Source organism: Homo sapiens, chromosome 3 (assembly GCF_000001405.40).
Source record: "Homo sapiens chromosome 3, GRCh38.p14 Primary Assembly".
Taxonomy (NCBI): Eukaryota; Metazoa; Chordata; class Mammalia; order Primates; family Hominidae; genus Homo; species Homo sapiens.
In genome coordinates this window covers 117,615,073-117,628,362 of record NC_000003.12, presented here as the reverse complement: position 1 = coordinate 117,628,362, position 13,290 = coordinate 117,615,073, and the positions used below count along the sequence as shown (strand labels likewise).

The window sequence follows — 13,290 nt, the reverse complement described above, 5'->3', positions numbered from 1 at the left end:
TTGCCCCCAACCCCCCTGACAGGCCCCGGTATGTGATGTTCCCCTCCTCGTGTCCATGTGTTCTCATGGTTCAACTCCCACTTATGAGTGAGAACACGCGGTGTTTGGTTTTCTGATCCTGTGTTAGTTTGCTGAGAATGATGGCTTCCAGCTTCTAAAAAATCTTATATCTATCACATGAACAAAGGCTTACTATAAAAAGTAATTGACATAGTATACAGATTATACATATTGTATCAGTGTCATTGATAAGGGTGTAACTACGAATGCATATGGGGAGGGGGCATGGTAGAGGGTATAAACTGTCCTTTAGCACAAAAAGAAAAATGCAAGAAGCTGCACCAGGAACATGCAGATTGATTGAATATTCATTTGAAATTATATGGAGGCGCCTCTCTGGTGCCAAACACACAGTAGGTGCTCAAAACACAAGCTGTCTTCCTTTCCTTTTCTTTTTTCCTCATCCCCCATCAAAGCCTTTTAATTTTCCAAAAAATACTTGTTTTAAACACCATTTCCTTTTCATGCAAAATACTGTGGAAAAGTTCACACTAATATTTTCAATAAAACTGTTCCTTTTTAATAAAAACCATCTTCTTTTAAAGAGAGCAACAATGACTTTTAGTTTAGTTTCATTTATCATTGAATATATTCCTTACAACCCAAAATGGAGCTAAAAACATGCCAGTAAGTACGTAGAAGAAATAATTTTCTTAAAATAATGACAAGTGAGTGGGCTGGGAAAAGGAGAGATGATGATAATAAAACTTTATATATAATCCAGTTTTCTTTGTTTTTTTTTTTTTTTGAAATTTCATCAGAGTCACTACACTGGACAGTTTTTCAAAATTGTTTTTCCCCTAACAAATAGCAAGTACAATACTTAATATGAATATTAAAAATTAGTGAACATTCTGTTTCTGCATGGTTGAGAGGCAATGTAATATACAGCAGTGATTTTCAATGTATGATTCCTAGGCCAAAAACATCAGCATCAACTGAGAACTTGCAAATTCTCAGACCACACCCCTTATCTACTGAATCAGAAATTCTAGGGTAGAGCACAGCAATCTATTTTAACAAGCTCTTCCCATGTTTCTGATACAACCTTTGAGAATTACTGATGTAGACAAAGATGGTTTTGGCCCTGACTTAATTTGGTTAAATGGTTTCAGGGGTCTCTTTCCCCACTGGAAAATGAGAAATTTGGACATGTTCAAGCAGTTATCTTAGGCTCTTTGGTTCTCTATAGTGTGTGAATGTTAACTCATGAGCAGTGAAGAGATTCCTCTAGGCTCTGGAACAGTTCTTGTCACTACAAGAATCTATGCTGTGGATTAAATCCTGAATATGTCGGTAAAGTAGACTCAAGTCTTTCCTACTAACTGTAGGAACCACACCTGATGACTCTCAAATAAAAACTAGTTCAATTATAAATGAATTAGGAACATACTATTTATTTTTCAAATGAAGACATACCTGCATGCTTTTAACTACCAGGAGTGCTGGGAAAAGATTAGAAACGAACTTGATCCAAGGCAATCATCACTGTTAGTCAAAGCCTCTTTTAGTTCCTCCAGGGAAGCTCTATCAATAACCCCTGGAGAGTTGTTAACAACTAGAAAGTGCTAGACTTCCTGGGGCTTAAGAAAAGTTTATGCAGTTGTGACTCAGGTGCTTTCGTTCTTGAATTTCTCCTTTCTTCAGAAGAAATAATATTTTGGTGGGCAGTTTGATCTAGTATTAGGGGAGGAAAGTGAAGTGATGTGGAGGGCTTTGCTTGTAGCTTTAGCCACACTTAGGATTAGAGAGGAGGTAGCAGAAGAGGAAGGCTGAGATCAGCCAGAAAACTGGCTGGGTAAAGGCGAACTGGAACTCACAGAATCAGACCTAACTTAGGAATAAAAAGTCAGGGAAGGGGATTTCAGGTTCCCTAGCCTTTCTCACGTTGAATTCCCATATCAACACATTGCTGGTCACTAAGTGCAGTTTTATATTTATAGAGAACCACTGTGCAGCTTCAATAAAACACGGGCTTGGCCGGGCGTGGTGGCTCACGCCCGTAATCCCAGCAGTTTGGGAGGCCGAGTCGGGCAGATCACGAGTTCAGGAGATCTAGACCATCCTGGCTAACACGGTGAAACTCCATCTCTACTAAAAATACAAAAAAAATTAGCCGGGCGTGGTGGCATGCGCCTGTAGTCCCAGCTACCCGGTAGGCTGAGTCAGGAGAATCACTTGATCCCCGGAGTCGGAGGTTGCGGTGAGTCAAGATAGCGCGACTGCACTCCAGCCTGGGCGACAGAGCAAGACTCCATCTCAAAACAAAGCAAACAAAACACTGGCTTGTTTTTCTTCTTTGTTGGAAAGTCCTCTGGCTTAACTACGGGACCACTATATCAAAATTTGGTCTGGTGTAAAATCAGAGCCATACTTTCAAACTTGAGAACATGTATGTCTTAGGTTTGAATCCTTAATCGAGTCAGTTATCATGGTGATGACGATTATAAGTATGATGATGATCGAGATGTTAATAACAGCACAGATATTAAAGATTCAACTATGTGTCAGGTCTTGCGCCAACAGCCCTGTGAAATGAGTTATATTCACTTTAATTTACAGATAAAGAAAGTGAGGATCAGGGAAGTTAAGCCACTGATCAGTGTTGTGTAGCACCAGTGCCCTACCAGAAAGTGCTATAGCCGAGGTTTCAATTACAAGCGTAGCTCTACAGCTAAAGGTTTTGCAGACACAACCTGCTGCCTCATTTGAAGAAAAGTTACTTCCTGACTTAAAATGCAGTGGTTTATACTCATTTTTGTTGTTATTATTCTACAACAGAACATAGAAATAAAAGGATACATAACAAGCACATGGGTTTCAGCTGAATGAATTGAGTAGAAGTGTAGTAATGCCATTAAGTAACATTTTTAGAAACTTTATTTCAATGAAAGAGCTCCCTAATTGAGGCAAATTCAAATCAGCACAGTCATTGTGATACAGTAGTTTGACTATATTAGTCTCTTACATGTAATTATTGTTTTTAGGGCCTTTGACTATCTTCTGCTAAATAGACATTATTCAAGGCATCTGATCCCACACCAAGGGTATTTATAGCCTCTAGAATCCTGGCTTTCCCCCCTGTAATTCATCTTATCCACTGCAGGGCTAGAGGAATCATTCCACACATACAGTTTAACCAACTCAATCTTGCAAACACTGACATTTATTCTACTTTTGTGACTCCCTTGTCTGCATGTCTTCAAAGATGGCATATATTTCCTGTGCTATTAAAAAGTGAACTTCTCTGTTTACCAAAACTGACCTGCACTTTTCACTGAGTTTGATTTACCACAAGTCCCCAGCATGTATTCCTCACTGTAATCAAGCAGGTTTTCTCTGTGCATATTTAAGAGGTATGTATAGTTCTATCTTCCCTTTTTCTAAAATTCATCCACATTCCAAGGTGGGGGCTTGCTTCTATCCTCAAATTCTGGATAGATTTTTAGACATGGTTCCTTTCTTATTTCTTCAACGATTTTTGAATATCATTATCTTGTCTAAATTTGGATTATACCACTTATACTAATTACTATCACTTGTTGCTTCGTTATATTAGTATAAGTATTATTTCAAAGCTGGACTATGTAGTTATTTGAGGAGAGTCTATATTTCATAACAGGTTTTACCAAACATTTATGTACATATGAATCATCTCAGATTCTCATTCAGTAGGTCTGGGGTGGAGCCTGAGATACTACACTTCTAACAAGTTTCCAGGTGATACTGGGGCTGCTTGTCCACAAATCACACTTTGAGTGTCGAGATACCACATCGCATCCTTGCCACAACAAACATAAACTGCCTCATGAATAATAGGGGTGCAATAAATGTTTATTCATTAAGCACTGGCAAAGGGTTTTATCTAAAACATATTAGCATGTGAGAGCTAATATTTTGAGATCATAACAGGGTAATTAATGATAGAGACCTCCAGAATATTTGCTGCTTAGAATAAATTTGGTCCCATTTGTCAAAAAATGACAGTGACACTGATTTGAAACATAGTGAGCAAATCTTGTGTTTCTACTTCCTTCCTCAAGATTGCAAGAAGATACTTAAAAATTCACCTTTGGGAAAACTTGTAACAAACTCTGAGCAACTTACCATACTGAAGCCAAGCAAGCTAGAATGGATGGGAACTATTTTCTCAAATTTTCCCTGCTGATCCTTAAGCACACCCTTCTGCTGTGGATGCATTTGCGCTTCATCGTTTCCTGCCGCTCAGCCACCTGTGTGTTCCCTGGGACTTTTTTCAGCCCCAAATAATCATTCTATAAAAAAGTTAGACAGTTCCTCCCTCATCTTCCCACTTGCAGTTTCTATGAAACATTGTCCCGAAATTGTCATGAATACAGTTTTTGATGGAGAAATCAAACCTGCTATGTACATAGGTGGCTGACAGCAAAGGAACAACACCACTTTTTTCTTTCTCACCCCTCAAATAAAAAGAGTGCTCCAAATCCGGGCTATTCATGATTTGTTCCATATCCACATGCTTTATTATAATGTTAATATTTTTCTTTAAAGACTACTTTTTTACTTAAATGTATTCCTAAGAAACATTTTATTGCTACCATGAATAGAAAAACCAGTCTAAGGTGCCATAAATAAATGAAAAAATGTTAAAAATAATTGATGCAATGGAAACAAAATATTACTTATTTTTAACTAGACACAATTTCCCTCAGAAGACTCTGAGTTTAAGGGCTGCTTTGCTTGTTAAAATGGGAATTGACAGGTAGAAGTAGTATTCAATGCAGAGGTACCAAGAGAGACTTTTTTCTTGACTTGATCATAGGATTGGAAGAGAATCGAAAAGAGAAATGGTGCACACTATATAATTTAATAATATGTAAGTCTGTGATATTGCACCAGTCATCTCTCTTACACATATTACGGTTTAGGAATTATACTTCTAGACTGCAGGGACTCAGTCATCTGTGGGAAATGTTGATTTCACAAGAAAAGCCATAAAAAGTTATTGTTTAAGCTTGAAATTAACCTTTTTAAATCTAGAACGTTCTTTTAAAATGTCACTGTGTCTTGCAGACAAGCACAAAAAATGGTCTGGATGTATTCTTTCCTTTTTTCGTTATCAGAATTATAGGAATCATGACGAAAACTTTAGTATGAAGTAAAATAAACAATGGATAGGCTTCCTAGGAGAGTCTGATTTAGGGGAAAAAAGCTCCTCTTGTAATTTTAGGTTAAGCCAAGCTAATGGTTTACCTGGTCCAATAAGGTAATAGGTTTAAACACATTATATATAATATGATGCAGATCATGGGTTAAAAGTATGGCGATATCACTGAAAATCAGAAAGATGACCGACCTCAACTACTTTCAGGAATATAATTCTGTCAAAATGGATAAAGCAGAAAGAATAGAAAATAAATGGCTTCTGCAACAAGTTTTGCTTCGTAAACTGGTATTTTCCAGGGGAAAGGGAATCAGAGCAAAGGAAATGGATGGGGCCCCAGGCTTCCTTCCCTCCTCTTCCAGAGGAAGATGCCTCTGTTCCGTCATCGCCTAAGGTCCCATTTATGCCTTTTAGCTCTGAGTCATGTCCATGACTTGCTTAGTGATTAAAATACTCAGGATTCTGCTTTTGTTTCAATCTTGGCCAGCTACTTATGGATGACTTATTTAATGAGTCAGGCTTGTTTCCTTTTCCTTTTCTTCTCTTCCTCCTTTTTTTCCCCCTTGCAGGCATAGCCAGACAGGTTTTGAAGTACTAATGATGATTAGTTCATTTAAGCCAGCACAGACCAACAATGGGTTTGAAATGTTAATCAGATGAAGGGTTTACTGCTAAACAGCCCACAGAATAGCAAATGAACCAGGAAAGGAAAGCAAGGAGAAAAAGAGGCTGAGTGGAGATTTGACACAAGCATTTTCAGCTGCTGGGCCTCTTTGATGTGTGAGTGGGACAGATGTGCTGCTCTTCTCCTGAGAGAACACTCTTTGTGCACAATAGTGCGCTGATTAATATCACTTCACTCTTCCCTCGAGAGGAGCAAGGCTGGCTCTTAGTCATTCTCTCATTGGGCATCATTGGACCCTCTTCTTCCTGCTGATAGGGAATTGACATTCAGTTTCTCTTGTTTGTCTAAAAGCTCAGACTCACAGAAAACTCATATTCCTCCGGTCTTCACAGCCCCAACAGTGTGTCATGGTGAGGTCATTTATATCACTCTTATATGTAAAGGCTACAGTAGATTAAACCATTAATGCCTAGAAGACACATGAAGATACGATTTTAGAACCCACAGAGATGAGAAGAAACCAATTAGGTCAAGGCAATTTTTCCACTTTGAGTATTGCTGCTGTGCTCCAGTAGAACTTTCTGCAGTGAAGAAAATGTTCTATGTCTGACGTCCAGTGTGGTAGCCACGAGCCACATGGCCTAGTGAACATTCGAAGTGTGGCTAGTGCAACAAAAGAAATGATTACTTTTTTAAAGAGATGGGGGTCTCACTATGTTGCCCAGGCTGGTCTTGAACTTCTGGTCTCAAGCAATCCTCCCACCATATCCTCCCAAAGTGCTGGGATTACAGACATAAGCCACCATGCCTGACCAAAAGAAATGAATTTTAATGTTATTAATTATATTTAAATGTAAATAGCTATATGTGACTATTGGCTACCACATTGGAGAATGTACCTCCAGAAGGTCTAGAGCTTTGCCACTCAAAGTGTGGCCAAAAGACCAGCAGCATTAACATCACATGGCACCTTTTAGCAATGCACAATCTCAATCCCCACTCCAAACTTTTGATAGTAGGTTCTGTATTTAAGGATATTCCCCTCTAGTGACTTGGATACACACTAAATTTTGAGAAGCCTTGCTCTGGAGCATGGGTTAAAAGCTAGATATCCTAAAGCTGAAAGTTTTCATGAAATGGCACAATAATGATGCTGAACTGTTTGGTTATCTGCCTCCTGAAAAAATACTTTTTCTAAAATGCAATGGAGTCATTCCTGGTTTCTGGGCTCATGAAAACCTTAAGTGGTCATGGGGGCCTGGTATTTGGCAATGGAAATTTGTAAGGGTAAAGATTAGGAATGTGTTAGGCCCTAAAACTGCACCAGCTAGCTAATATTTGTGTAGTCTCTAACCATTTACAAAACACTTTCATAAATGTTATGTTTGGTATTATCTTTATCTCCATTTGTTGTGTGAAGAAATGGTTTCAGAGGATTTATCACTGAGCATAGTTGAGTGCCAGGTTCATGGTCCAAGTCCAGACCTTCTGTTTCTTGGGTCTTTCTACTCTATAGCAAAGTGAGACGAGCCCATATTTCTTTGAGAATCTTGTATTGACAGAATTTAGAAACTAGCTGTATGTGAGAATTTCAAGTCTATGTCTAAGCTATAAAAACAAAACAAAAGGCTATAGGCCCCCTATTTTCTTTCTTCTCTCAAGATAGTGTCTTCTGTATTATAGTTGCTTTAGACATTTGAGTTTCATATCTCATTTACATGTAACCCATTACGTGTCACTTTTTTCCCTTTTATGAAGACCAGAATAATACATTGTGATTTTGAAAACAATACCGAAAGTTATCCAAGAAACCAGTTGGATTTTATTCAACAGGTTATTTTGAGTATTTTCCAATTGAGAAAAACTCAGCGGGCTATAATTCTAGTTTACCAAGTTATGAAAGGTCAGTGTGGGTACATTAAATTTCAGGTAAAAGAGAGCCAGGCAAGTTTCTTAAGTCTGAAAGAGGAAATTTATGGATCTATAAATAGAAAAGGTAACTATGCCAAAATTAAACTTTTTGGTATCATACTCTTACCTCAACCTCAAGAGATTGTATAAGCTGGTATGATAATAACAATTAAATGTGTTTATGTAAACTCATCAATGACAGATCATGATTGGACTTTTAAATAAGTCTGGCAATATTTGGATATGTGCCTCACATTCAAATGCTGATGTGACACAGTAAGAATTCTTTTCTGTAAATCATCTTGGATTGCCTCTGTCAAATTTAAATTCTTTGTAGAATATGCCACAGATCTGACTTTTGGTACTTCTTACAGTCTTAATCCAGGATCTAATGCAAATTAAATAGTTTATTATTTTCATATATTCCAGAGAATTATATCTATTCAGCCTGCAACATAGATTCTGATTTTTATTCCTGCCATCAAAATTCAGATTGGCAAACACAGACTCCTGAATGTTTTTCCATATCCTTCAAGTTCCATATCAGATTGGCAAACACAGACTCCTGAATGTTTTTCCATATCCTTCAAGTTCCACATCAGATTGGGATAGGCATGTGGAAATTGAATTATTTCATTGGTATTTGTCATTCCATCCAAATCTCTTACCAAACTTGCTCAACATAACCCTTTGATTAACTTATCACTCTGACATTTGTAGGGGTTCCCTCACCCTCGTACAGAGAGGGTATTACCCACCAACACAGCAGGATTTCAACAAAGCAGAGTGAAGCCTTAATTACAGATTTAATGAGGAGAAAGCCTGATCTTCATTTCTTGCTGATTTCCCAGCTGTAGGATGATATCTGATTATTTCTATTACGCCAATGGTTTGCTTTCCATCTGCTGCTGTCACCACCATCACTTTCGTTGGGCAGCTCTCTGCCGGTCTTCCTATTCTTCCTTGGTATATTGGCTCCGAGAAAATGAAAATGTCAAACTCAGATATTCTCTCTGCTTTTGTTAGAGAGAGGTATCCTAAGAGACGTATGGCTCTACCTTTGCTGAATAATTACAGTTAAAAATAAAATGTATTTCTGATTTCCTAAAGAAACACAATATATATATTACTCATTTCTCTTAGAGTGTCAAAGGGGATTACATTTCACTTTTTATTATATCCCTCTCTTTTATCTGGTAAATTTTGAAAAGACTATCCAGAGGATAAAAATAAGTGTGGCCCTTTTTGCTCTAGAATATGACATTTTCAACCAAGCATTTGTATTTTTAAAGTTTGAAATTGGATAAAAAGAAGCAATATGTCTCTACAACCTGGTCATTTACTTAACCGCTCTGTGCCTCAGTTTTCCTCATCTGTAAAATCAAGGCAATATCGGTATTAGTCCATTTTCACACTGCTATGAAGAAATATCTGAGACTGGGTAACTCATAAAGAAAAGAGGTTTAATTGACTCACAGTTCTGCATGGCTGGGGAGGTTTCAGGAAACTTACAATCATGGTGGAAGGCATATCTTCACAGGGTGGCAGGAGAGAGAATGAGCACAAGCAGAGGAAATGCCAGATTCTTATAAAACTGTCAAATCTTGTGAGAGCTCACTCACTATCACAAGAACAGCATGGGTGAAACCACCCCCATGGTTCAATTACCTCCCACCAGGTACTACCCTTGACATGTGGGGATTATTACAAGTCAAGGTGAGATTTGGGTGGGGACATAGATCCAAACCATGTCATTATCTATCTCATAGGATTGTTGGGAAATGTAAATGAAATTAATAAAGTGCTTATCACAGTTTCTGTCATATAGCAGGTTGCCAATAAATTTTATTTATCATTTTAAAGAGTATTATTAAATATTCTCTAATAATAGAATGTCTGTTTACACTATTATTGTGCCAGGCTGGAGTGCAGTGGTGCAATCATGGCTCACTGCAGCCTCAAACTCCTGGGCTCAAGCCAACTCTCTGCCTGAGCCTCCCAAAAGCTAGAACTACAGGCACGGGCCACCATGCTTGGCTAATTTTTTTTTTTATTTTTATTTTTGTAGAGACAGTGTCCTTGCTATGTTGCCCAGGCTGGGCTGGAACTCTTAGCCTCAGTGATCCTCTCACCTAAGCCTCCCAAAGCACTGGGATTAGAGTTGCGAGCTATCATGCCCAACCTCTTCAATTTTAGACAATATTAATTATTTTTTAAATTAATTAATTCGCTTTTTTTATTTTTTTCAACTTTTATTTTAGGCTTAGGAAGTTCATGTGCAGGTTTGTTACGGGGTAAATTGTGTGTCTCTGAGGTTTGGTGTATGAATGATCCCATTGCCCAGGTAGTAAGCACAGCACAGGATAGTAATTTGTCCAGCCCTTATTCTCCTCCCACCCTCCCCTCTCTAATAGTCCCCAGTATCTATTGTTCTCATCTTTATGTCCATATGTACTCAGTGTTTAGCTCCTACTTATAAGTGAGAGTGTGTGGTATTTGGTTTTCTGTTTCTGCGAGAGTTTTGTTAAAACTCTTTAACAAACAAGAGTTTAAGAAACTCTTGTTTCTGCCAAGTTTTGTTAAAAAAAATCCTTAAGTGACTAGAAAGAAAATTATAGCTCAGCAAATTTGGCTGGCATATAATGAGACCTTGAAAACCTTAGGAAAACCATTTCTCACCAAGAGGACTGGTTAAAGAGCAGAAGCAGAAGCTGCTGTTACAGGATATGCAAGGAAGATACATTTGACCTTCAAGCCAACACATGGCATTTTTCTTAGACAATCATTTTATACTAGCTTTCTTATGTTACTAAATATCCAAATAAAGTGAAATAAAATCCAATATTGATTAGAGTTATCATTTCATAACATAAAAATATGAAATGGATGCTTTGGAAAGCCAATATGTCCTGTTGTTCTTGGGCTTAATAATGTGATAAATATTGAATTGCCATGACTTGTTTTATATTTAATATACTGGGTTTTCAAATGCTACATGCCTGAATTATTATTATTCTTGATATTCCAAACACTTGAGGTCAGAGCTAAAGTCTTATTTATCCTTGTATCCAGGCCTCACCAAACACACATGAACATGCGCGCGCACACACACACACACACACACACACACACACACACACAGAGCACAGAATATTATACATTTAGGTGCTAATTGGGCATCAGTACAATATTTTGCACTTATGAATATATTCATTTTCACTTTTACTTAATCACTCTCTTACTTATTGTTCATTCAGTAAACACCTTCTCATTCTTTAAAATAAAATATTCTAGAATAGTCCATATTTCTGCCCTTTTTTGAATTTGCCACTTTCTACCTCATGGCTTCAGCATCTCTGTCTGGCTTTGCAGCCTATAGTGCTGGAAAGAATGAATCTGTATTCTTTCTGATTCCATATTCTCCCTTTTCTCACTTCCAACACTGTCCCATTTCTACTAACCAAGAATTCTAGAACTACCTCCCACTGACCATCTGTCTTCTTCTGTTAGGCTCACATCTTCAATAAGGCCTTTTCTGGATCAATAATGTACCTCCTGTGGGCCAAGGCACTTTCTACTTCTGCTCTTTTTCAAGGCCGAATGCATTATAGGCACCCAACTGTTATTAACAGCAATAAGAATAAAACAGCCAAGGAAAACAAAAATGCATCTCTGCACTCCTCATGTAGCTCATCTTTTCTACTTTATTTGGTCAAATAATTTTACTAGTCAGTTTTATTTTCAAAGAAACTTTCTATTTGGTTTTCCTGGTTCTAGTTCAGTGTGATATTGTTTTGATTCACAAAGTTGACAAGAAAGTATCAATAAGAACCAATTGTGATTTAATTTAATAATATAAAAATAGAAGAAATTTTATTCTTAATATGCATAGAAAATATTTTTAATTGATTACTTGTTTTATATTTCATATACTGGGTTTGCAAATGCTGCATGTCTAGCTGTAAACTAGACACTTTACACAAAGTACATTATTTTATTTAATTCTAACAACAACTTCATAAAGTAGATATTATTCATCTCGCTTTTCAGATAAGGACACCAAAGCTCAAAGAAGGGAGTCAATGTAGAGGCAGGATTTTCATCAAAATTTTCTGGCTTCAAAACTCACTCCAACAGTTTCTGAAAGTTTGGTGTTTGAGCTTCCCTAGGTATTTTTTTAAAATATTCAAACTCACAAGCCCCATCTGCAGGAGATTCTTATTCAATAAGCCTAGAGTAAATCTCAGGACTTTACTCTGTGAAACCACCTCTTCCTCTTCAAGTTCAATGTTAAAAACCAGAGAATTGTATGTAAAATAATTTGAGAATGTTTGGCCCCTCTCCCAATGATTTCTATAGTCATTGCGTTAAACATTGGGTTAAATATTATTTCTAGAAGTACTCATTTTATTGAATGAGAATATGTTGTTGCCATTTTCCCAGACTCACAGAATAATTTTGCTTGTAGTTGTCTCAGTCCTAGCCAGTACAACTGTTGTTTCCATTAAAGACTTCTTTTAATATACAGTGATTATAAATGGCATAGAATAACCCAATAATATCATATGGTAATATTAAATATGGACTTGAGTAAGTCATATGTGGCGAATACAGTATTAGGTTATTGCATGAGAGGAAGAGAGCTGAAAGAAAGTGGGAGGTTGTAATCCCACCCTGGAAAAGATATTTTGCTCTCAGAGAAAGAAGGACTCAGAGAAGTAATTACATAGGAAGACAATGATGAATGAATGGGCCAGAGGATAAGGAAGACAGAAAAGAACATGCTACGTTAATCTGTGCCTTCGATCTACTGGCTTTATCCCTGGCTCACAATGAAGTCTCAATACATGCTAGTTGAATTAATAAATGGATGAGTGAATCATGGCAAATTTTAAAAGACGATGAAAGAAAGCGAAAAGACTGGACAACCAAAATGAGAAGAAGGAATCATGGCCAGGGTGAAGAGAATTGGTGCTCATGCAGAAACAGAATGACCCCTCATGGACAGAAAGACAGAAGAAGCAAAAGAAAAGCCCTGGCAAGAATGCTTCCCTTTGGGTTTGTTGTGGACAGGAGGCATCTCCATTCATTCTGTAGCAGCACTTCATAACTGTGTTTTGCATATGAAAATCTAGTTAAGCTAACAAGGTCCTTAATTAGGGCTTTTATTATCCCTTAATTCCTTGCTTAAAGGAAAATGATTACAAAGCTCATCTTTATGATTTAGGAAACTAATCTTTCATTTCTGAAGTGTTTCTTTCTTTTCCTGATCACAGATATTAAAAGAAAAAGAAATAAAACCCACAGAATGATGTGTAACTGTGCAGTAGTAATAAGGAGAAATACTTGAACCTGTGTATTAGACTCGTTGTGAACTACAGAAAAGACTTCCGTATCAGGCATGACCCTTCTCTGGTTCTTAATTTAATAAGGACCTATAGTGACTCTATATAAAGCAGAACTAAAAATGTCACTGCAAACCTAAATTCTCTTGCATGTATTCTTAAAATTGTAATTATGAGAATGCCCATGGGCCTCCCTCTCATCATAG

The 13,290-nt window shown here is 37.3% G+C and overlaps 1 annotated feature.

Moving 5' to 3' along the window:
• Positions 1,294–1,931: an enhancer, noted in NCBI's record as "NANOG-H3K27ac hESC enhancer chr3:117345279-117345916 (GRCh37/hg19 assembly coordinates)". NCBI's record gives its function as "activates a minimal SCP1, AML or CMV promoter by ChIP-STARR-seq in primed H9 embryonic stem cells {active_cell/tissue: H9 hESC(primed)}" and the evidence as "EXISTENCE:reporter gene assay evidence [ECO:0000049][PMID:30033119]".